This window comes from Homo sapiens, chromosome 11 (assembly GCF_000001405.40).
Source record: "Homo sapiens chromosome 11, GRCh38.p14 Primary Assembly".
Lineage (NCBI taxonomy): Eukaryota > Metazoa > Chordata > Mammalia > Primates > Hominidae > Homo > Homo sapiens.
The window spans coordinates 122,286,386-122,312,978 of NC_000011.10; the positions used below are offsets into that span (position 1 = coordinate 122,286,386).

General features: G+C 38.5%; 1 long non-coding RNA gene across 4 annotated transcripts in view; it reads right to left on the minus strand.

Annotated features, from left to right (window-relative positions):
* The window catches only part of MIR100HG (mir-100-let-7a-2-mir-125b-1 cluster host gene), a 394,543-nt gene that overhangs the window by 258,057 nt on the left and 109,893 nt on the right, over positions 1-26,593 (minus strand). For 2 of the 4 annotated variants that reach the window (NR_137193.1, NR_137180.1), the window contains exons 1-2: positions 22,865-23,102; positions 5,899-6,018 (exon numbers count right to left, since the gene is read on the minus strand). This is a non-coding gene — a long non-coding RNA (mir-100-let-7a-2-mir-125b-1 cluster host gene). Of the gene's footprint in view, positions 1-5,898; positions 6,019-22,864; positions 23,103-26,593 lie in introns of those variants that run through there. The other 2 variants (NR_137179.1, NR_137192.1) reach the window with 1 other exon arrangement.

A 26,593-nucleotide genomic window follows, 5' to 3' on the forward strand; every position in this document is an offset into this window, starting at 1 on the left:
CAAATTCATCATCACTGCATCAATCCACAAGCAATTAATTATTACATAACCCTGATGGCCTATCTTACCAGCTAAAATGAAGTTTCCATGGGGCTAGAATCATTGCATTTTACTCAGCCCAGGGACTTAGACTAAAAGCTCAACAAATATTAGTGGATTTAGGAGAGAGTGGGATGATAAACCTGTACAACAACTGATGAGTTCAAGGGAAGAGAAGATTATAGTTTTCCTAATTTGATTTTTTAGCCACATTCTTATACAAATTATCATTAGTAGTAACCTTTTCAAAAATATTCTTTCTCTATTTTTATGTACAGAAAATGAGAGAGAGAAAGAAAGAAAGAGAGAAAGAGAGAGAAACAGAGAAAGAAGATAATCCTTAGAAGCTTCCTATGCTAAATAGCAGTCTCTGACCCATATTAACCAGAATGCTCACAGAAAACAAACCAATCACTTCTAAGGATAATTACTACTAATTATCTTCATTAGTAAAGATATTGTAAGGCCAGATGATTACTTTACTACTGTTCGTTGCAGGCATGATAAAGTTTGAATCAAACTCTGATTTACTATTAATTCTCTTTATTAGTAAAGATAACTAGCAGTAATAATATTAGTATTACCACTAGTTTAGTATCAATACTACTAAATACTAGTAGAACTAGTATTATTACTATTAATAATTACAATTCACTACTAACCACTTCTAGAGATAATTTAGAAGGAAGATGTGATTTAGGAAAAGAGGGAGGGAGAACCCCTGCCTCCCACAGCTAAACAAAAGTGACTTTTCAATTTTCTGACATTTTAATATTATCAGTGTTAGTATTCTAGTCCAGTGATGAAACAGATTGAAAGTTGACAGTGTATCTTTCCTGAACTCTCAAGCAGATCATAATCAGACATCATCTTTATTTACTGAACACCTACTACGTGTCCCTAGCTCAGCAGCCCAGAAACTAATTCAGATCACCTTAGCCCCCACGGGATGAAGTTTGAGCCATGCATGATAAAGTTTGAATCAAACTCTGATTTAGAAGGAAGAAACAAGCGAGCCGCCTCAAAAGGAAGGAAAAAGGCACCGGCCCCCATTCTGGGAGGGACATCGCCTCGACCTCTCCTCAAAGGAAGTCTTAAGTGTGGACCCAGGTGCTGCTGAGGGGGGCCTGGTAGGGCGGGGGAAGATAAAAGGCTTTCTGGAGGCCCTCTGACCCCAGCCATCCCACGGGAAATGAGCGAGGAGGCTGCTGGCTGGCAGACAAGCAGGTGTGCCCTTCAGAAGCCACGGAGATTAGCTGGGGCTTATCCAAACCTCTGCAGGAGGCAAATCTCTCCTGGTTCTCTCAGGAGACCTCGGTGCTCCTCTGGCATCAAATAAGCCAGATGCAGAATGAACGTCAACTTGGCCTTTTGTGAATCTAGGGCCCCAGACTGGGAATCGGGACACTATCATACTCACCAGGGCCCCAAAGAGAATAAGTTTTTAGAGAGTAAATTTAAAAAAGGAAAAGGGGGAGAAAAATGACTTCAAGGCAAGATCACAGATGAAGCTTCACTTATGTTTGAATCTTTGTCTTTGGAGCAATTGTCTGCCACCCATATTAGACCAAAAGCTGCTTTTTTCTCTAGAAAACAACTTCTGGGGAAAATAGGTGATATTTGTTCTTCAGCAAAGGTAAAAACCAGAAGACTCAAAGGTTGAGAGCTCTCTTTCTCAGAAACTCCAAAAGAAGAAAGCAAATTAGCAATTTCAGCAGTGAGAGGAGGGGGACGTAGGTCCCCATGGGTGTAGAATATGTCAGCTTTGTGCTGTGTCAAAGTATATGGATGTCCAAGAAAGATCAGTGGTGTTAGATCCAGCCGATCAAATATGCATTGAAATTCTGATTCTTCTATGTATCTGCTGTGTTATTTTAAAGCAGTCACTTAACCTCTCTGAGCATCAATCATCCCACCCTAAGATGAGCCCAGCAATGGCTCCTTCACAGAGCAGTTTAAGCATTAATAGGATAACTTATGTAAACACCTGGCATAGTAACCAGCACATAGAAGACGCTAAAGAAAAATTAGCACCTTCTATTTTTCCCTTTCTTTCAGCAATCCAATCATATATATATTAGCTATACAGATAGATATTATATATCTACTATATATTACATAAAATGATGGATTACATATTTTATATATCTACAATGTATATTATATAATTGATATATATTATATGATATATAATTGATATATATCAGTGTTACTATTACATTCAATGATGAAACAGATTGAAAGTTATATATATACAATATGATATATAATTATATGATATATAAGAGATATATATTATATGATAATAATTGATACATATCAATTAATATCATTGATATCAGAAGTCACAGGTATCAATTATATATCATATATGTCATATGTCAGATATCAATTATATATTTTATATTATAGATCTATATTTTATATATATCTATATATAGATATATTTTATATTATAGATATATATTTTATATATATATTATAGGTATATATTTATATATATCTCCCTCATATAAAACAAAAGATAAAATCCTTACTATTTTGGACCTGTAGAAACCCATTCTCAGCAGGATAAGTACTTGCCCAAACTTCACATAGACAGAAAGAGCAGAGGTTAGAACACAGATCTCCCTGATGCCCTTGCTAGAACTTGCTGTTTAATTGGCACCATAAAGACAGCCTAATACTCAGTCTCAGAATGATCTAATAATGGCCATAGTAGAAGAGAGACCTCAGAATCAGATACCAGTATACCACAGGCCACTTCTTGCAGAGGTGTCCATCAGGGAGATGGTAGTTGTAATTGTCTCTCAAACATGGTTGAAACTGGCTCACAAAACATGTGGGGCATATGGAGTATAGGTGGGACTGGTAGGGTGTGGTACTCATTTTTTTTGTTGTTGTTTTTTGTTTTGAGACAGGGTCTCACTCTGTCACCAAGAATGGAGTGCGGTGGTGCGATCTCAGCTCACTGCAACCTCTGCCTCCCAGGCTCAAGCGATTCTCCTGCTTCAGCCTCCCGAGTAGTGGGATTACAGGCACACACCACCACGCCCAGCTAATTTTTTTGTATTTTTAGCATAGACGAGATTTGGCCATGTTGGCCAGGCTGACCTCAAACTCCTGACCTCAAGTCACCCACCTCATCCTCTCAAAATGCTGGGATTACAGGCGTGAACCACCACGCCCAGCCTCAATACTTTTAACTAGTAATGTCACCAAGAGCTCTTTTATCTTTTAAACTGGTTGTGCCACATATATATATAAGACAATTCACTCTGGAGAGGCTGAAAATGTAGAGCTGTCCCTGATTCAATAACAACAACAACAACAACAACAATAATAGTAACTTTATTTTATTTTATTTTCAAAGCCCCCTTCTTCACGAGCACTTATGGCAAAAGCAGGAATATAACTCTGAGGACTGATCCACAGCCTTCCCCCAAACTATCCCAATTATTTTTGTGGTAGGAAGTTTCTCTGTGAGAGATCAGATTGTGGTAAACCTTGTCTTTGTTTGTTCCCAGAAATAGTTGAATTTCTACTCCTGTTAGAATTGTCTTGTCACCAACAGCTAAACTTTCATAATTTTAGAACTAGAAGGAATCATGTACAGGTTCTAATTTTCCCCTCTTGCTTTCTAAATGAAGAAATTAAGGGAGACTCAGAGATGTGGAATAACTCACCCAAAGACAAGAAACAAACATGGCCAGCTCTTCACCTCATGCTTTCCCCAGAGTTTCAGGGACCCATGTGTGGACAAAAGAAACAATCTTCTTGGGCAATCTTTATTTTCCCCACAGAGCTAACTGTGCACAGAGCCCATGATAAAGGCACTTAAGTCCAAAAGAGCACAATTATTATGACAAATATCCAAATATTTCATTAAACATCCTCAGGAAAAAGTAAATAAATAAAATGCCAAAAAGTCCTTCAAAGATTTGAAAGCAGCATTGCCTTTTTAATTTAGAGCTTTCTTTGTGGATTGTCAAAGCACTTAAAATTTTTGAAACTGCTATAATTAATTATTATTAAGCTAGCAAATCACTGAAAATATAATCTTTGGTTTATTTTCATTATATCTGATGAAATTGTTTCACACAACTAAAATTAACTGAGCACTTACTACGTGCCAGGTAGATGCTAAGTGCTTAGAATACAATGATGAAAAGCCATCGTCTCTCTGCTCAAGAAATTCACAGTCTAGGGTGGGGTAAAACAGCTACTACACAAAATAGATCAATGACCTAAATGTAAGACCTAAAACTATAAAACTCTTAGAAGAAAACATAGGAGAAAAATTTCATGACACTGGATTTTTTCAATGATTTCTTGGATATAACACCAATAGCACATGCAATAAAAGAAAAAGTAGATAAATTAAACTACATCAAAGTTAAAAGCTTTTGTGGACTAAAGGACGAAATTAACAGAGTGAAAAGACAACTCACCGGATGGAAGAGAACATTTGCCAATCATAGATCTGATAAAGGATCCAGAATATATAAAACACTACCAAAACTCAACAACAAAAAAACCAGACAACCTGATTCAAAAATGAGTAGACTTGAATAGACATTTCTCCAAAGATATACAAGTAACCAGTAAGCACAGAAAAAAAACAGCATAACTAATTATTAAAGAAGTGCAAATCAAAACCATGATGAGATATCACTTTACCCCTATTAGGATGGCTACCATTAAAAAAAAAAAACACAGAAACTAATAAGTATTGATGAGGATACGGAAAAATTAAAATCCTTACTGGAATGTAAAATGGTGCCACTGCTATGGAAACTAGTGTAGTGGTACTTCAAAAAATTGAAAACATAGTTACCATTTGATCTCTCAATTCCAATTCTGAGTTTGTACCCAAAGGAATCGAAAGCAGGGACTCAAAGAGAGATCTGTAGCAGTATTATTCTTAATAGCCAAAAGATGGAAGCAAACCAAGTGTCCATGGATGGATGAATGGATAAATAAAATGTGGCATATACATACAATGGAATATTATTAAACCTTAAACAAGAAGGAAGTTCGGACACATGCTATAACATGGATGAACCTAAAGGACATATGCTAGGTGATATAAGCCAATCACAAAACAACAAATATTGTATGAAACCACTTATATGAAGTATCTAGAGTTCAAATTCATAGAGATAGAAAATAGAATGGTGGTTTCCAGGAGCTGAGGTGAGGGAGTAATGGATAAACATTTTTAATAGATACAGAATTTCAGTTTTGCAAAATGAAAAGAGTTCTGTGGATGGATAGTGGTGATGCTAGCACAACAGTGTGAATTAGTTTACAACTACTGTACATACAGTTAAAAATGGTTAAGATGGTAATTTTTATGAATTTTTTTACCGAAATTTTAAAAATATACAAGTACTACACTCACCATTATTAGTAAACTCACCAGATGCCAGCATAGGTCTCCAGGGACTATATTAGGTGGAACCCCTATAGAAATCCACTCAAAAAGAAATCTTCAGATTCTATTGAAAGTATAATATGATATACTGAGAGTAAAAGAGAAGAAGCTTTGTTGAAAAAAGCTGGTAAACTGCAGAGCCCTATCTAGTCTTTTTTGGAGACCATAAAGCTCACTAGAACGTTATAAAACCAATAGTGCTAAATTTTTCCATTAATAAAAATCATTTTAAATGCCATTTCCATCTCTATAGAATATACACATTAGGACAGACAAACATTAGTTTTTGCCATTGACCATTGAGAGGCTGTGCTTCATGGTATGTGGCAGGGGCATGGGTACTGTTTGCCAGGCTTGGGGGATCTTTGTTGTTATTTGGTACATTTTAGAAACAAACGTTAAACTCGCTGGTAAGGACTTACCAGTTGTACTTCCTCGAGGAGATACTCTAGATCTTAGTTCCTCTTAGCAGTGAAGGTTTCCTGGAATGTCATAGTCTTGGAAGGAGGTGAACGATTGGATGTGTAACACCGGGATCTTCACTGAGAGTGAATACAAGAAAAATCAATTATCTAAGATGCAGGTAAAATAATTTCCCATGACCCCAACATTCATAGATGTCATCCAATCTATCAGTGCCTTTAAAAAGCCACAACTTTACTCAGAGCATTTAACAAGCTCTCCTTTTATGTCTTCTCTTTGCTGGATACTGTGAGAGGTTAGGGGTATGCATAAACAAGATACAATCCCTGTATTTGATAATCTTACATCCTAGAGTATGACAAAGCATAAAGAAGGAATGACAATGTCATTATATAGGATATATTTTGGTTTCATCTGCATAAGCTAAAGAAAGCACACACACCTCCCCTCACACCACTTTCCAACGAGACAGCCAAAGCCTATAGAAACGAAAAAGTGAGTCAAGTAATGCCACTTCATGCATTTTGTCCAATGAGGTGACTGTCTGAAATCCATAGTTTCTGATGCCCAGTGTCCCCCTCATGAGATGCCCCATCTCCATCTGAACTTGGTTGGAGCCAGAAACTAAGACTGAGATTGTAGTCTCCCATCCTCATTCAAGCTCGTGAGCCTCCCAAATAGGAAACACTCCCTGTCCCTTGGCCACAGAATAGGCAGCCACTTGATCAGAAAAGCAAGCAGCCAGCTAGTGCAAATGGCAAATCCATCAGCACCATTATCCAAATGGTAAGGTTGGCAGTATTGTCGTCACAAATTAAAAATGACACATCACAACAATTACATGGCTTCTCACTGCCTGACATGCTGGTTCAGCCTAATTCCCAGACTGTTTCAGACACCCAAACAAATTAACACGTTTTCTAATGATATAAAATTGTGTTGCTCTGTGTGTGTGTATGTATGTGTAAACCTCCATACAACCACATCATCATCAATTAAATATTTATCAGAGTTCCACTGACCTGTGACAAGCATCAGCAATTGGCCCTTGGAGCATCAGTGTTGGCTATTTTTTAAAGCCAGCTTCTAGCCTCGGTCAGTGGAACATGTTAAACCTCAATGAACAGCTCTCACTATCTTTTGTACTGGATCCATACTCCAGGCTGAAGGAAGCTTTTAGAACCAGCAAGAACCAGATGGCCCTCCAAGATCATTTTTGAATGTTTGGATCTGAGTCATTTGTATGCGGAAGCCTTCACAAAATAGCAATCTGGGGAACATGCTCCAGGCTGAGTCCAGCTTTCCAGACAGCCCATCTTTGCCTACAATTGAGAAGACAAGCACAATATTGTAGGGTTCCACAAAAATATTGCAGCATTTATCTATATGTGTAGCACCAAATACATGGAGTGTCCCAGTCAGGCTGTCACTACAATGGTAGTTCGCCACCGCTCTTCCTCCTCACTCCCCCTAATTATTTTTCTTTTTTCTATTGTACCTACAGTTTCTCTTCTAGCACAGGCATAAAGCCATCTTTGCAAATCGGCCAGCAGAGGGTACTACAATACTGGTGCAATAATCCAAATCACAGCAAATTTACAGCTGAAAAAGATTTAGACAAATTAAAATGGGCTTTGGTTTTATGATGTGCTTGGAGCTCCTAGCCAGAAATAAGAGAGTGGTGGGATGGAAGAGATGGAACCAAAACTGGTAGACAGGGACTGCTCATCAGAGGAAGAGGCAAGGCAGCAGTGTAGGTTCAGTATCACTAATCCGGGGGTGAGGCAAACCTAGATTCAAAAGTGAGAAGGAATCAAAACTAAGGGGTCAACCGCTTCTAGGTATTCACCCTAGAAAAACTTTTTAAATACCTGTATGTGAATATTTATAACAGTTCTATTTATAATCGCCCCAAACTAGGAACAATCCAGATGTCTTTTAATCAGTGAATGAAGAAACCAAGTGTGGTATATCCATACAATGGAATACTACTCAGGGGTAAAAAAGAAGAAATTATGAATACATACAGTAACAGGGATGAATCTCAAAGGCATTATGTTGAGTGGTGGAAGCCATTCTTAAAAAGAAAGTTAGATAAATATGAGTCCATTTAGATGACATTCTCAACAGATCAGCAATTGCCAGAGATTGGGGCTGAAGAGAAGGTATAACTATAAAGAAATAGCATGAAAGAATTCTTTGGAGTTATGGAAATGTTCTGTATTTTATTACTGTTGATGATTACATCAATCTATACATGTGTTAAATTTATAGAAACAGTACACCAAAAATTAATGTCAGTGTTTCAGCTTAATGTAAAATTGTTTCATTAATGGTATGCTAAATTTAAAAAAGAAAATTTTAAAAAGAAAAAAAAGACATTAAAAAAAGATGGAGCCTGAGGGCAGAATGGGATAAGCAGATAAAGAGTGAGGCCAATTTGAGGTCTCATCAAGCATGTATAGAGGAGGTAAATTATGAGAAGACAGAGTTGAGTTGAGACTTGGAGGACAGACTAATAGGAAATTGGTGAGAAGATCAGGTTCTTCACACTCACTTTGTTTTTGTGAACAGTGGTGTTTCACTGAGTATCAACCAGCAGCTTGAGCTGAAGGGACCACAGAAGCCACCTGGACCCACATGGTGTTGATGGACAAGAAGGTCACCAGTCAGGGTTGGTGCAGGACCAGAATCTGCCCACCCTAGGAGCCAGCATCTATGCTGGTGTAGAAAAGAATCAAGTTAATTCTAGGAGCCATCATCATGACAGTATGGACAGCCTCAAGTTAATTCTTCACCTCACTCGCTGGTAGGAATAGGCTCATTATCTTTGGGCAGGGGTTTAGTTGAGAGAGGAAGTGATAAACAAAACTAGATAAATGTAATCTAACCCTCTCATTTACAGATGAGGAGCCTGGGAGAGCAAAGCAGTGTGAGTTCTCCAAATTGCACAGCTTATGAGTGCCCTTCAGGGTTCTGTAAGTTGGCCCTGGACCAGGGACCAGGAATGGTATTTCTTCTCATCTGCCTTAGGTAGGTGAGATTGTGTTTTATATTTAAAAGATAGCAAGACAAACAATGGTGACTCCATAGCATGCCATTAGAATCCATTGAAAAATATACTACCTCCCTTCAAACCTTTGTTGTTGTTCTTTTCTCAGATGAATTGCTCGAGAATTCCTGTGCCTGATTCTTATATCAGCCTTCTCTTATTCTATCCAATGATTAGACTGCTGATTGAAAAAAACAGTCCAAGAGTTCTTATCTATCAGATTGCCTCCTATGTCTATCTACGTTTTTTGTTTCTGTCTAACTTTGGAGAGCTCAGAAGGAGGAGGACAGTCTCACACTTTGCAATCTCACTCTTAGATTGAATGGTATGCGAAAAAAGTCCTGGTTGAGAAGTTGAGGCACAGGTTTTGCTCCATATTTGCTGATAACTGCATGTGAGATTTTAGGTAAGTCTCTTCCTTTCTCTGGGCCTTAATTTCCTCCTCTATAAAGTGAGCCAGTTGGATTTGAAGATCTTAAAGTAATTTCTAGTCCTACAATGTTTCACTTCTATGTTTAGTCTTAAGTGTAAATGATAAATACTTAAACTGATGCACAAAAGAACTGATAATTTTCAGTTTAATTCAAAAATATGTACTTAGAGTCTATTTTCAGGCTATATACTAGCCATGAGGGATATTAAAATAATTAAGAAATAAACCCTGCCTTTAAGCACATACAATCTATGGATTAGAACAAGAGTCTGGAGTTAAAGGTTACAGATTCAAGGACACTGCTCTACTTGAAATGACTCAGACCATTTATTTAACCTCTCTGAACCTATTTCTTCATCTATAAATTGTGAATAATAATAGCTCCCCCTGGGAGTGAAGAATAAATGAAAGTATATTAGTTTTTATTATGAAGTCATTCATATCACTATCCTGCCCTCTTGAAACAGCATTTTTCTTTCTCGCCCATACCTTTTGGCAAATGATCTCCATTTTTAATCTCTCAAAGCTGAACAAGCTATTAATACTTTCAGATGCAACTCAAGTTTCACTTATCCGAGAAGACTTATCTGTCTGCTCCAGACAATACAGATCTCCCTTGCCTCTGGTTTTCTGTTGCCAATGTTTAACACTTCTATGGTACTGTCTATTGCTTCTATTCTATTGCCTCACAATTACTTGGGTATTTATGGTTTTAAGCTCTCTTGAACTCCAGTTCTTTATATTATCAACTGCCTATAGTGACTTCAAATTCTACCTGTATCAAGTAGAATCCACAATTATTTCCAGAAACCCTACTCCTCTTCTTGGGCTCATTTCAGTTTATAGTATCTCAGTCACTCAAACTAAACACCTGTTTGTCATGTTTCCTCTCCATTACACCCTCATCCAATCCATCCTATGTAATTCCAACTCATGTGCCTCTCAAATCCATTCTTTATCATCTCCATTGTCACAGCCTTACTTAAGTACCTCTTGGCTAAATTAAAGCAATGGTAGAGGGAAGGATTTATCAGTATCATCTAGCAAGCATTTTTCAAAATGCTTACCTTCCTGTAACCCCATATCGCATCAGAAGTGTGGTTGAAGGAGAAGACAGAACGGTGGAGGAAAAACCAGGCTTGCGTATTTTGCAAAAGCTTTACAGATTATTCTCACAGATTTCCCATTCCTGTTGAGAATCACTGTCTTAATCTTTCTCCTTCCAATCCTTCCTGCCTGTCCTGCCTGAGTAACTTTTCAAAACTTCCAGTTAATCAATAAAGGCTTCTCATTGCCTTTCTTCAGGTTGGCTTTCACATTCTGCCCCAGGCCACTCTCTTGCCCTTGTTTTCTTCAATTTCTTCCATGCCTATATTAGTCCATTTGTACTGCCATAAAGAAATACCTGAGGCTGGGTAATTTATAAAGAAAAGAGATTTATTTGTCTCATGGTTCCGCAGGCTGTACAAGAAGCATGGCATTGGCATTTGCTTCTGGTAAAGACCTCAGGAAGTTTCCAATCATGTCAGAAGGTGGAGGGGGTACAGGCACATCACATGGCTAGAATGGGACTCAAAGAGAGGAGGGAGAGGTCTCAGTTTCTTTTAAACACCCAGATCTCATGTTAACTAACTGAGCATGAACTCACTCATCATCAAAGGGATTGCACTAAGCCATTCAATAAGAATCTGTCCGCCTGTAATCCCAGCACTTTGGGAGGCCGAGGCGGGCGGATCACGAGGTCAGGAGATCGAGACCATCCTGGCTAACACGGTGAAACCCCGTCTCTACTAAAAATACAAAAAATTAGCTGGGCGTGGTAGCGGGCGCCTGTAGTCCCAGCTACTCGGGAGGCTGAGGCAGGAGAATGGCGTGAACCCGGGAGGTGGAGCTTGCAGTGAGCCGAGATCGCGCCACTGCACTCCAGCCTGGGCGACAGAGCGAGACTCCGTCTCAAAAAAAAAAAAAAAAAAAAAAAAAAAGAATCTGTCCCCATGACCCAATATCCTCCACTAAGCCCCATCTCCAACATTGGGGATGACCTTTCAACATGAGATTTGGAAAGGACAAACATCCAAACCATATCATTTTCCCCTGGCCCCTGAAATCTCATGTCCTTCTCATATTGCAAAATTCAGTCATCCCTTTTCAATAGTTTTTCAAAGTCTTGACGTGTTCTAATGCCAACTCAAGTGTCCCAAGTCCAAAATCTCATCTGAAGATGAGATCCTTTGACCTATGAGCCTTTGTGATCAAAAACAAATTATTTATTTCCCAGATACAATAATGGTAGAGGCATTTTGTGGACATTCTCATTGCAAGAGGGAGAAGTTGGCCAAAAGAAAGGGGCAAACGGCCCTATGCAAATTTGAAACCCAGCAGGGCAGTCATCGAATCTTAAAGCTCTAAAATAATCTACTTTGACTCCATGTCCTGCATCCAGGGCACACTGGTGCAAGGGCTGGGCTCCCAAAGCCTTAGGCAGCTCTGCTTCTGTGGCTTTGCAGGTTGCAGCCCTCATGGCTGCTCTCATGAGATGGAGTTGAGTGCCTGCAACTTTTCCAGGCTCAGAATGTAAGCTGCCATTATTGGGTCTGGAGGGCAACAGCCTTGTTCCCACAGCTCCACTAGGCTGTGCCCCAATGGAAATTCTATGTAGAGGCTCTAACCCCACATTTTTCCTCTGCACTTTCCTAGTAGATGTTCTCTATGGGGGCTCTGCCTCTGTAGCAGGTTTCTGCCTGGGCACCCAGGCTTTCTCATACATCCTTTGAAATCTAGATGGAAGCTGCCTAGTCTCCTTCACTGTTGCATTCTGTGCACCTGCAGGCCTAACACCACGTGGAAGCTGCCAAGGCTTGCAGAGGTTTGGCACCTGCTGGAGCTGCCAAGGCTTACAGAGGCTTGCACGTGCTGGAGCTTTGACCTGAACTATACCTGTGGCCCTCTGAGCTGAGGCTGGAGCCAGAGTGATTAGGATGCAAGGAGCAAATTCCCAGGGTGGCGTAGAGCAGTAGCACCCTGGGCCTGGCCCATGAAACCATTCTTTCCTTATAGGCCTCTGGGCCTGTGATGGAAGGGGCTGCCTTGAAGATCTCTGAAACGCCTTCAAGGCCTTTTCCCCATTGTCTTGGATATTAGCACCTGGCTCCATTTTAGTCATGCAAGTCTCTCTTGCAAGTGATTGTTCCACAGACCATTTGTATTTCTCTCCTGAAAATGCTTTTTTCCTTCTTTATCACATAGCTAAGCTGCAAATTTTCCAAATTTTTGTATTTAAAGTTCCAAATTTAAGTCGTTTATGTGCTTCTGTATATGATCATAGGCTGTTAAAAGCAGCCAGGTCACATCTTGAATGCTTTGCTGCTCACCAGATATTCTAGGTCATCACTCTTAAGTTCAAGCTTCCTCAGATCTCTCGGGCATAAACACAATGCAGCCAAGTTCTTTGCTAGAGCATAGCACAGGTGACCTTTACTCTAATTCCCAATAACTTCCCCATTTCCATCTGAGACCTTGTAAGCCTAGCCTTCACTATTTATATTTCTATTAGCACTTTGGTCACAATCATTTAACTAGTGTCTAATATGTTTCAAACTTTCCCTCATCTTCCTGTTTTCTTCTGAGCTCTCCAAACTCTTCCAACCTCTCTCTGCTCATTACCCAGATCCAAAGTCACTTCCACATCTGCAGGTATCTTTATAGCAATAGTAATACCCCACTCCCAGTACCAATTTTCTATGTTAGTCCATTCGTGTTGTCATTAAGAAATATCTGAGTCTGGGTAATTTATAAAGAAAAGAGGTTTAATTGGCTCAGCATTCTGCAGGCTATACAAACACGGTGCTAGCATCTGCTTCTAGTGAGGGCCTCAGGAAGCTTCCAATCATGGTGGAGAGTAAAGAAAGAACGGGTGCTTCATATGGCAGGAGCAAGAAGGGGGAGGTCTCAGACTCTTTTAAGCAGCCAGATCACATGTGAAATAACTGAACAAGAACACACTCATCACCAAAGGGATGGTGATAAGCCATTCATGAGGGATCTGCCTCCATGATCCAATATCCCCCACCAGGCCCAACCTCCAAAATTGGGGATCACATTTTAATGTGAGGTTTGGAGGGGACACACATCCAAACCATTATCAGTGCCCCGCAAGTTCCAGCCAAACCAAAGTAGACCTTCTTTCTCTAAATACACCAGAGCTGTTCACAACCCCAAGCATTGGTTCATGCTATCTCATCTTCTTGGGATTTTCTTCTGTTCTTATTTCACTCTTCCTACCTGGGAGCATTCCACTTAATTTTCAGTGCTCAGATCAAATGCCACCTCCTCCATGAAGTCTTAAGAAATTTCTACCCTCTTCCAGGCAAAATTAGTCACTCCTTCCTCTACATATCTTCATATCTCTCTATTCACAGTGCTAATACACTTAATAGCAGCTTGGGTAGGCCACCTTTCTTAACTCCCTCCAAAAGGATCTGGATTCCTCCTTTGGTTTCCTAAAACAAATTTTAGACCTCTGTTATAGTCTATACCCTATTCCACTTTGTGTGTACATGGTGTGTTTTATAACCTGTTTCTTAAATTAGACAACAATCCCCCTCAAAGATAGACACTGCCTTCTCCTTTAATTTCCCAGCATGAAGCAAAGATTCCACAGTTTTAATGGATACTAAATAAATAATTCTTTAGGCAAGATTCAGATTAGACATCATCATCTCAGGAAGCCTTTCCAAGCCCTAACAAGTGGTAGTGAGCTGCATCTGTCACATCAGCACCCTACATGTAGCACATTCTATTGAAATTACCTGCTTATGAGCCTGTACTTTCACTAGACTGCAAGTTCCTTCTGGGCAGCAACAGTATTTTTCTCTCTCTCCTACCATGGCACATTACACAGTGCCTGGCAGACAGTTGTACTCTTCAGTGTTCTGGAACAACTATGCTGAATTTACTGTAATTTCCTTGCAGATGATAAACACTCCAAGTGCACTTATGGCATTTTTTACCACTCTCAAATTTTTGACAGCATCTTCCTCCAACCCTGAATTGAGAGCAAACTTTCAAACAATATTTGTCAATTGACAAATTATTATTAAATATTCCTGAATAAGTTTAGGCCTGCATATGAGAGGATGGAATGTCCCACTTAGATGTGTTCCCAGGAAAGGAAGGATTCAGTCTTTTAACGGCCATACCCCAATTCTGTTTGTTGTCATGTATCTATATCCTGATAGTTCAGCAATGATTAGTCAAGTCTCTAGTAGGTTGGATCTGTCACTGATTCAATCTCAGCATATTGACCTGGTTCCATTCTGGCCACTTTCCTCCTCTCCTGTGGTCCCAATATATACACCAGATTGGCATATTAACCTTGTCTAGGAATTTTTAAAAATTAAAGGCCGGGCGCGGTGGCTCATGTCTGTAATCCCTGTACTTTGGGAGGCCAAAGAGGGCAGATCACAAGGTCAGGAGTTCAAGACCAGCCTGACCAACATGGTGAAATCCCATCTCTACTAAAAATACAAAAATTAGCCGGTCGTGGTGGCGCGCACCTGTAATCCAGCTGAGGCAGGAGATTCGGGAGGCAGAGGTTGCAGTGAGCTGAGATCACACCATTGCACTCCAGCCTGGGTGACAGAGAGAGACTCCATCTCAAAAAACAGGAAAAAGAAAAAAGAAAAAAAATTAAAAGGGACATGCAAATAAAATTTTCGGGAAAATTCAAAATAATGCCTACTCATGAGACAAGTGCCATTCCAACAAAGCTGAGGGTTGGGTCATTGCTCAATGTATTCATAATACATAGACCTGCTGGGTGATGAAAACTTATAACATTGCTTTATCTAAAACTGAAATGTTTTGGAATTTTTTAGGTGAATGAAAATATCAGGATATTTGTGGAAATAAACCCAATCTCACATCATCATTATTAAAATAAAAGTTACAATGCTACTATGTGATATGTTTTATTTTAAGCATAAAATAAAGCATGTTTTACTATTAGGTTTTTTAAAAGCATAAAAATGAAAAGAAGCTCCCTTTTTCTCCATTGTTTAAATAAAATAACATAAATCTCCTTTTACAAGTTTATAAATTAATCAACCATTGTTGAATGCCTGGGCATAACTTAGCTGACACCATATCCAAACATTAAGCTAGTGCTGAGCAACCAATGAGAAGATAGTTTTTCTGGAAGTTGGAAAATCACATCAACTTGATGTAAATAAAAAGAACAAGCTCGACATTGATCACAGCATATCAACTGGGAGGAGGAATGGAAGCACGGTTGCCATCATAATATATCACAATCGCAGATATGTCAAAAAATTGTAAGGGTTTTTCCAGATAGGTCTAGTATGAAATTACTTGGAGGCAAAAAATAATGACACTGCACTTCTTACTTAAAGTAAAACTCATGGGATATCAGTGAACTTTAACTCACATCTTATGATTTTATTTAAAAGTCCCCAGAGTCCTGATTACTCCAAAATTCTGTGATCTAGGATTGATGATTTTCTCTCTGCAGTGAGGTCATTGATGTGATTAGCTGCAATGCAGTATTTTAAGGCTCCATTGAGAGGAATGGAATAAAGTCAAGAATTGAGGCATTCGTCCAGATTAGTCTTATAAAATCTGATACTAGATGAGAAAAAAAAAAAAAGTTGGTGTGGACTTGAATGGTCCCAAGTGACTACCTGTACAACCAAAATTCACTGATATAAAATGGGAGGAAGTGGAATATCCAAAATTACTAGTCCTAGTCAGCGAAGGACAGGCCCCAGTAAAGGTCAACACCCTGTAGGCCTGAGTTGCCATTACAAATCATTTCTCAGGTTAGTAAATAGTGGGGAAAAAATAAAACAAAACATTTTAAGGAGTTTTGACACTTCTCATATTATTCATTCTAATATCCCTATGTTCGACTTTTGTCAAAGTTTTACATAACAGAAATAAAAATTCACAAGTATTTAAAATGTCTCAAATGTGCAAAAAGGTTGACTTTATCTACCAAGAAATAGGTGCCTGAAACCAGCAAAGGGCATCATATTGAAATAACTTTCTCATTTGGTTGTGAGTTTCTTAAAGGGCAGTCCAGGTCTCAGGTCCTACTAACCAGCCGAGAGCAGCAACTGAATTCCTATAAAATCTCAAATACAACCTTGAAAAGTAATGCACGCTAGCACAGGGATCTGGACCAGGGAGCACAGGTCTTAGCCTCAGTACATGCTCCAGCACCACATGTTTCTTAATCTTAGGTAAGCCAAAACGGTCTTTGTTGTTGTTGTTGTTGTTGTTGTTGTTGTTATGGAGTCTTGCTCTGTCGCCCAGGCAGAGTACAGTGGTGCTATCTCGGCTCACTGTAACCTCCACCTCCCAGGTTCAAGCAATTCTCCCGCCTCAGCCTCCCAAGCAAGTAGGTGGGATTACAGGCAAGTGCCACCACACCTGGCTGATTTTTGTATTTTCAGTAGAGATGGGGTTTCACCATGTTAACCAAGCTGGTCTCAAACTCCTGATCTCAGGTGATCCACCTGCCTCGGCCTCCCAAAGTGCTGGGATTACAGGCATGAGCCACTGCACCCGGCCCCAAACTGTCCTTGATCTTTAGTTTCCCCTTACACATGGCAGGGAAAAAAAAAAAAAAAATCACCCTTTCTAAGAGTACGATGATGAAATACATATTGACAGTCAAATAAGTTTAATTTCTTGGAAAAAAAGGCTTTGCACAATAAAAATAACCTATTTTCTTCAAAAAACTGAATAATATGAATACATCACATTTACTTTGCCAGTTCTTGATTTATAGTTAGATACCCTGATCTTATTGGGTAAGGGCATTGGTATTCCTTGCCAGCATTTATTTTAGCTCTACCTTGCCAGTGGTTGGGGCAAGGGTAGAACGAGAGGACCCAAAGGAATGGGGGATAATAAAAGGGATTGAAGAAGGGTAGAGAGGCACTGCTAATCTTTTAAAGAATTGCTAATCTGAGATATCCCTGTTAATACCTGCCCACAGACTTTCTTTTTAGCACTTGTGGAGTGGGTATTTTGCATATATTCTTCTCATTCTTCCAGATTTACACTCACAGAAGAGTAGAGGGGGCAGTTTCTCCAAGTCATCACTGTTTCTTTTACATAGACTTTCACATTAAATGAATATATATTCACTTAATAAGAATGAATATATATAAATATGAATGAATATTTAAAAATATATATCAATAAAATAAATATCAGCCTTGGATTACAACATAACTTCTCTTAGAATATGCTTGGGAGTTTTATAATCTACTTAACACACCACTTGTAAAAATAATAGAGTTATTTTTCAAGGAGATTCCAAATTTCAGTCTATATGAATGAAATAATACCTATCCTTGCCACACACTAAAAAAATATCAGGGAGGAAAAGAGAACTTTGTCAGAGCATTCTCTATAACAGGGTCTTCATTTTGCATATTTGCTTATTTTTAACCCCAACTCCTTGAATATAAAATATTATATCCAAATGCTCCCCCTTTGCTAACTTAACAAACCATGAGAAGGTTTCTGTTTGTTTGCCCAAATATTACTAGCATTGTTTGTTGAGTTGGTTGATTAGCACTGTAGAAAGTCTTTGTTTTGCTGATACTTTTCACATGCTGTATAAGTACTACCAGGAAACCTGCCTCAAAGTAAATTAAATGAGCATGTTATCTCTGAAGGCCTCATACAGTTAGGAAGTGGAAGGCAGTCAGAAAGGGGAAGCTCAACTTTGTCCTCCCAATTCGGAGTGGAAAAAAGAAATCCAACAAAGTTTAAAAAGTGGGAGCTCTGAAAGCTGTGTCTGCTACTTAACTGTAAAGTCTCAGTGACATGCTTTTGAAAAAGAAAACTTTTTCAATTAATGGGGCCATTGAAAATAAATTTAGTATTTTTGGTCGTGTGCTGCCATCTTAGTGATTATTTTAAATCAGCCTGAGGGCATTATGGGTAAAGAGAAGGAGAACAGTTACATCCTATTTCATCTTCTGTCTACCTATACATGTGATCTTCTGCTTCATGTTCTTCCAAAATTCCAGAATGTGTGCTATATTTCTCTTTCTTTTTAAAAGATATTTGTATTTTTAGGGCTCAGAAGATATAAGTTACAAACAATATTTTGACCATATTATGTTCAGTATGTTAAATACTGGGGGTGGCCATTTTCAAGAAATGTCAGGGTTAGGTCTTCAGTCTGATTTACAAGTTTTCTATTTATTGGAGCAATTACAGACACTTGTTGAAATGTCTGGATTAATGGTTGAACTTGAACCTATGCTTTCAAAATGTCTTGGGATGGACCTTGGCCACAAGATGAGTTGTTCCTTTCAAGTTGTTCCAGAAGTTAAATATCTGCAGAAGACACAGGCTAAGAGATGGGGTTCCCTCCAAATCTGTTCTCCCAAGGGTTTCAGCATTCCTTCCAGCTCCTTGGAGAACTACACTATTTGTGAGTGCAAAAAGAACTTGTTTCGACTGCTTCAACCATAGAGACTCAGCTTTTCATTAACCTCTTTGTCTCTTCTAGCATTTTAGGTGGAAATATTACCCAGCCTTATAATATTTCAGCCATTTCCTTCCTTCCCCCTTCATTTCACACCTTATTAAAGCATAACTGATCAGAAGATGGGACGATCCATTTTTCTCCAACCAAAATGCACCGAAGAATTTAGCAATGCCAACTTCTCCTTTCACAAAAGCTTTGGAATCATTTGTTTAAATTTGACTTTTGAATCAGCCCCAAGTGACTGTTCTTTGGCAACAAAATATGTAACTTTATCACAGATAAATTTTCTTTGCTCACAGTTCCTGGCCTGGAGTTGCTGTAAGGATCATCCAGACACATGCTGGAAATTAAACAGTGTACTACCAGGGTGGCCGCAATTAAATTCAGACTTGCATTCAAACCATGGCCCGCTCCGCATTTCTTCGAGAAGTTTGCTTTCTAAAGACATTTCAGAATGTCTTTTCACAAAAGAAAGGCAGGGTAGCTCTGCCCAAGTCCCCTAAATCAAGGCAATGAGAATGAAAAGGGAGAGATGTATTTGCAGCATGCCACACTAGATGTTCATCTACAGGAAGATCTGAGGCTTCTAATTTAGGGTGTTTTCTTCTGGAACCCAAAGGTAATTCTATCCACGCCTTCACAGACAGACTACAATTATTATTTGAAAAAGAAATAAATCATGAGTTCTCATCGGACATCAACCCACCAGCATGTGTTATAAAATGGAATGGCTCCTTGAAAGAAAATATTTCCTCCTCTGCATGTAGACATATCCCCCTTGACTTAAAAATATATTTTAGAATTGAAATGCTGAATGCTTAGCAAATTCTGAAAATAGTGAAGAGTTCTGGACTCAAGCCAAATGTTGTATGGCTTAAGGGAAAAAATGATCAATTTGGAATAATTTTTTCTAGATACTTACGGATAGTACAATATTTAGAAGGAAGAAAACTATGGAGGACCATTTATAGGTATGTGATATTTCTAGGCTAAAACTAAGTTTATAAAATGTGTAAATTTGTTTTTTAGCAAAATCGTTTAAAGATGGAGTTCAAATTTAATCTGCTCCTCTGTTTCTTTTTAGGTAGAATCAGTTTTAATCACTTGTATTGATTTGAAGAAATATAAATTGCATAAAGTTAAAGTGGCTGGAAGAGATCTCCAGATTTTCATGTTATGTCAAATGCCTATTTGAAATACTTTCCTAAAAATCTGTTTTGACGGTGTAACTCTGTAACCTTTGAAAACTTTGGGAGTTGTCAGGAGTTGGCCTGTTCATAGAAGACAATCACTCATGCATAAATGTCATTCAAAAGAACAGCTATGTTTAAGGTACAAAATAACATAGTACCAAGACTTAATAGCCACACAAACGATAGTCAAACCCTTTTTTTTTTTCCTACAGAGCAGAAAGTTACCACAGAAATTTCACATGCAAGCATAAATGATCTGAAAAAGACAATCACCAATTTAGGTTGAAATGATTTCAACATTTGAGCAAATTACAAACAGCAGACCTGGCCTTCCTTACAACTTCCATCTAGTTGTTGCACTGAACAAAAATAAACAAATGGAAAGCTTGACAGATGAATAAGACTTTTCTCATGATTTTAAAAAATGAAAATGCAACAGCAAAGCAAATATCACCACCGAAGTTATTCCGAAGAAACTGCCTTTGGTATGTAGGCTGGAGCAAAGACTCCAAAGCCTCCCCTCGATCTCCCATCAGAATCCTCCACTTTTGCTGTATTTCCTAATTTTGTAGACTCTATTGCTGAGCTCTTTATCAAACCAGTGTGCAATAAAAAAGCCTCCACCGTTCTACTAACTTGCAATTTTCTCCCTCCTCCTGGACAGAGGCCACTAGGAAGGGAAAGCCTCAAAAAAAAAAAAAAAAAAAAAGAGGAGTGAAAGCGAAGAAACAATAGACAACCGTGGCTTTGACAATGCCTTCCCTCAACCCCCTTTCTGCTCCTGCTGTGACACTTGCATTCAAGAGCAAGGACGTCTGCCATCCGATGCATGGACAATGGAATGAGGAATACAAGGCAGCGGGGAAGAAAGGAAATCAGATGAATTCTGAGCTAAGATGGCAGGGTTCTCACCTTTTCCATTTTGGGGAATTTTTTTGTTTTTTGGGTTTTTTTTTTTTTTTTTGCCAAAAATAAAAAGTCTGGATGGAGTCTTCCCGCAGAGAAGAAATAAAAAGAGTGTTTGAATTGTTGGATGGTTCTGAAGGCTTCTGAATTTGCAAACGAATTTTAGAACTATTTGCAGAGGTCTACTTGCTGCCAGTCATCTCTCTCTCTCTCTCTTTCTCTTCTGTTTTATGTCCTGCTATCTCCATCATGCCTCTGTTACTATGAAGACTTTCTGCCTGTGTAAGTAAGTGAGAGTGTGCATTCCTTAATGTTTGAATCAAGACACACGTCTGCATGCATTTCTAATCTAAGAAGCCTATAGCAGTTACTACAACTATCAATTAGTCAGCAATAGCTGAGAACTTCAACGCCTCTGAAGGAACAAAGGTGGAAAGACAGGCAGATACTCCAGCATCTGGATCATGCAACTTGCTGGCTACAAATAATGGCACCTTCTCTGGCTTTTATCTGTGTTTAGTCCTCAAATCTATGTAACATTATGGGTTATTAATGTATCCAGCCACATAATTAGATATGGAGCATCTAAGACATATATGTTTCTTTGGCATTATTGGGAATAAAATGCATTAAGCTGAACTAAAAGGAATTGCCTGCTGACAAAAAAGAGTTTATCGTATATGTGATCTACGTTCCATTTTAATCAACTCCCACTAGAACTGAAATTAACTATACGGTAGAGTTCTTTGTTCATTTCAGTGGTTTTTATGAAAGAAGCTAAGAAAATAGTGATTAAAAAAGGAAAGCTAAATATTTAGCTGTAGAAAAGCATATAAGAAGATTAATTTTCCTCCATAAATGAAATCATTTTGGTTTAAACTCAAGCCTGGATTTTGGTTAATGTTGAGTGGGTTTGTGTGGGGGGGCTGTGTGTGTTTAGTTGCAAGTGTTGTGAGCACCGTCTTACACTGCATATGTCTGTGTTAACTTGTATTGAATATATTCTGGGCTAACCACCTGAAACAAAATAAAGACTTCTTTTATCTCATTTTACAGAAACCTCAAAAAAATCGACCCTTCCGAAAACCAATGCTCTGCCTTTCGTTTTCAAGGACATTAAAATATTGCTAACTTGAATACACAAGAAGAAAGAGGGTGGTATAAGTAACAGCTGATCTCACTCCCTTTTAAATATAAATCATTTCAAATGGAATGATGTCCTTTGCATCTGATGTTATCTGTGATTTTGTCCCTCTTTTCTGGTGCATGAAAAGCAATGCTTCTTTCCTCCGCACTTTTTGTTAGAATTGAAATAATTTCCAAGCGAGATATGGAAAATATCATGAAGGTTAACATTTGTCTCTAACTCCATAAACACAACAGAAAGTCTCACCTGAGCACAGGTATTCACAGCCAAGCCGTAGCAGAAGCTGCAAAACAATATCCCCTCATTTCCCTCTGCTACTCATTCCTTTTCTTGGGACTATCACCCCAAAGAGCAAAATTTTTTTCTTCCTAAAGAAAATAGCTCAGACAATAATTTTACCCCTGTTAACTTGTGAGGTAACCACAGAAGCTGAGAAATTCGGGACTAACATTCAAAGAGAAAACCCAAACAATAGAGCAGAAAAACTGAGTTGCAGGAACCGGGAATGAGAGTCTAGCAAGCTTTTATAATGAGGAGAGGTGTTAGAAATCAGGATAAAGCAAGTCCTTATCAAGATAAAGCAGGGGTAGACAGGGGGGCACAGTAACCCCCATCAAACCCTGTCACTTAAGAAAGAGAAAATTCTAACAAGGTTGAGGAAGAGAAAGGAAATGGTGCTAAATAGCTGGCGAGGTGACCCACCGTCCTGTTTGCTCCTTGGCTCTTGCCGAGGGGAATAACAGCCACAGCAGTGACAACGGAGTTCTAATGTGTCAGGTGCAACCTCTGCCCCGTGCTCTCTACCTCCCAAAAACGAAAGAAAATCATGCCTCAGATAGAACACAACAGGAACGAGCAGGCGCCATCGTCAAGTCCCGGACCCCATCAGCACCGGCTGGTCTATGAAAGCCTTGTATCAAGGGTCCCATTCAAAGGCAACGAAGAACCAGAGACAATGGCAAATCAAAAACTGGCAGGGTTTCTGGAATAATTTAATTCCTCACTCCAGAATTTAGATGGGTATAGCAAGAAACACAGGCGAGAGCTCCTTCACACCAAGACGCGAGCATATGCCTGCCTCTCTGTGGATGTATTTTTAGACATAATATCATGGGGAAGGCAGCCTGTGCACTCATCAACAGCATTTGCTTCCTAACGTGGGTGCAGCCTCTTTTTCACTCTGAGAGTAGCTGATGAGCAGAGGAAGCAATCCACATTTCTCACCAAGCCAAAGGTCAGGAAGGAGGACCCCAAACCACAATCCATTGTCTCTGTGCTCAGAAAGCATTAAATACATTTTCAAGATGTGTTCCAGTATGAGGTCATGCCGCGTGGCAATTCGCTCACTTCCTATTTTTCCACAAATGACTTATTCTATCATCCAAAAGCATAACCAGAAAAAGAAATCACACCTTGACAAAGACAATTCAAACACTGTAGACGAAGGATAAAAATATTTGACAGGACATCTATTATTAATAACATGTACTAAACTTTTTAACATGTCTGTTAAAAGCAAGAGACGGATAATGATTTATGTCAGATTTAAATGTGCTTTAAAATTGGATATTCTTCGCATTCACTTCAAGCTTCAAACATTTAAAATAATAAACACACACAAAAATAGCTCAGCTCTTTAAAATGTGATTAACTAGAAAGGAACAATTCAGCCTTTGCAAACAAATTAACTGTAATCTGGTATATTCTTATCTGATCTGGGGAATTTTCCCTTCGTGTGGAGGATTAAAAAATTTTTAAAGACTCCTTTAAATTTTTCATATTAAAGTAGTAATCAAATATGTATGTGGACTTATCTATACATAGACAAAATTCTCAAGTTAATTTAAACTTATGAGAGAAATCCAAGGACTAGTAGGTCAAACCATCAGAAAAGAAAAATAACCATAAAAACAATCTTTAACCACACACCAATTTCTAGTTTCATGCACTTCTGGAATAGAAATGGACTGAATGGAAATGAATGAAATTAATTTTTCACAACCACTATATTGCAAAACACAATCACTTAAAATGAAGAACAAACAGCCCACCTTCCATATTTTTGAGTCAGAATTTGTTTGTGTCAGAATTACGTTTTTTAAAAATATTGTATGTAAGTAATCTGTAAAAGAGAGTTACAGGATGGATTATTTCTAACTCTACAAATAAGCATTCTGAGTTTTGATTTTGCTTTAACAATTGAAACAGTTTACAATTTCACATTGTAAATCTCACTAGGACTGAATAATGCTCTCACATGGATTGACAAAGAAAGAAAAATTCATGTCAGACCAAAAGGCTTCTTTCAGTCAGTTTCATGCAGCTTTCTTCCAACGGATCTGGGCCAAAACAAATGTAGAATCTTGAGCTGAACTATCCATCACATTTTCCTAGTCTTTCAATTAATGACACTGCAATCAGATCGATAGAATGTAATAAGAAAAGAGCTTTGCATTTCTATACCTATTAATTCGCTGAGTAACTCCAGCAGTAAAACGTGACCTGAAAGGAAAAACACTCAAGGAAAATGAATTCTCTTAGCGTATTGAGCAATGACTCCCTGACCCAAAAATGAACACTAGAGTTTCTATCTTCCAACCAGGGTTATTAAGATCTAAAGATCAGATTGCCTTGTCAAGAGTGAGCTTATTCTTTTTTCACAAGATTCTCTGCAATACACTCACACCACAAGAGGTCTAGTCAAATTGGCCATTTTTTAGAATTTTGGAACAAACATCTTTGAAGTGCAGGTTAGAGTATCTGAAAGGAAAGGCATTGTTCTTCACTTCCTAGGCCACCCTGAACTACCACATTTCTGATCTTGGTTTTCTGTGATGTTCTGCCCCAAGGAATTGGGTTTAGAAAGGGTGAAGCAGGGAAAGAATCGTGGGAATGCTAATTGAGCACAGCCCCATTCCAAATTATTGCATTGGTTTGAGTCTATGCAAACAGTGACAGACATAACAATGCAATACGATGTCTGGATACTCCATATTTATCACCAGAGACAGAGAACCCGGAACACACGGGATGAGCTTTCTGTGGGAAGGATGAGGCAAAGAAAGGCTGGCCTGAGATTATCATGTGCGTGTCTAGATTTTAATGTCACTGGAGGTTCATAAACAGTAACTTCAGTCATAAAAAGTAGACTCTTTCTACTAAATTAGGGTTATAAGGTAGTTCAATCAACCACTAGTGTAGCAGAAAGAACATAGGTTTTGTTGCCAGACAAACCAGAGTTTGAATTTCAATTCTATCATATACTAGTTAGCACCTCTGAACCTCAAATTTTTATTAGCAAAATAGAAATATTATTGCTTACTTGAAGGGCTACTATGAGGGTTGAGTGAGATAACATATGTAAACTATGTGGCACATAATAGCTAAACCTTTCCCCTCACAATCCTTGTGTTTCCAAATATAAACTAGCAGTAAAAATACAATCTTGGCTGAGCACAGAGGCTCAGGCCTGTAATTCCAGCACTTTGAGAGACCCAGGAGGGTGAATCGCTTGAGCCCAGAAGTTCAGTACCAGCCTAGGCCACATAGTGAGACTCTGCCTCTACAAAAAAAATTTTTTAAGTTAGCCAGGTATGGTGGATGTGCCTGTCGTTCTAGCTACCAGGGAGGCCAAGGTGGGAAGATATCTTGAGCCCAAGGAGGTCGAGGCTGCAGTGAGCTATATGATCACACCACTGCACTCCAGCCTGGGCAACAGAGTAAGATCCTGTCTCAAAAAAAAAAAGGAAAAAATGCAATCTTATTGTACAAATTAAATGAAATAGTGTATATAGAACTCTCAATAAACTGTTCACCAATGCACAACTGAAGGTATTATTATTGTTGACAAAAATAACAATAAAGCCTTAAAAATTGAATATGTTATTTCATCTAAGACATAAAGAAATAGTATGGTCTGAGACCTCCCTTTTTTGCAATTATGTATTTAAATCCAAGGGGAAATATTGCTGCTGGAAGAGCTGTATCAAGTGAATTGGCCACCAGCAACCAGTCTTTCAGTGCACGCCAATCTTAGTTGCCAATGGTAGCACCATCTTTTGAAGGTTAAAAAAAAAAAGTACTTAAAATTCCAAGATGAAACTACAAGAAGAAATCTAGCAGTGAGTTGGCGGAAACACCTTTGATGAGAAGTAAGAATAGCACGGCTAAGTGTTCCCTGTGTTTGCAATAAAAGAGGAAAAGATCTGATTATTCATTTAATAAGTTTTTATCTATCAGTAGAATATTCATAAAACAGTATAGGTGGGAGCTGTAGGGAAGATAAATTGCCCTCAAAGAGCTTCAAGTCTAAATAAAAAATATTTATGTCATAAAATGAAAATAATTACAAAACCTGAAGTGAGAAAAATACTACTAGTCTTGGAATAAAGTTTGGCAGTAATTGATGTTTGACATCTGCAGTATCAGAAG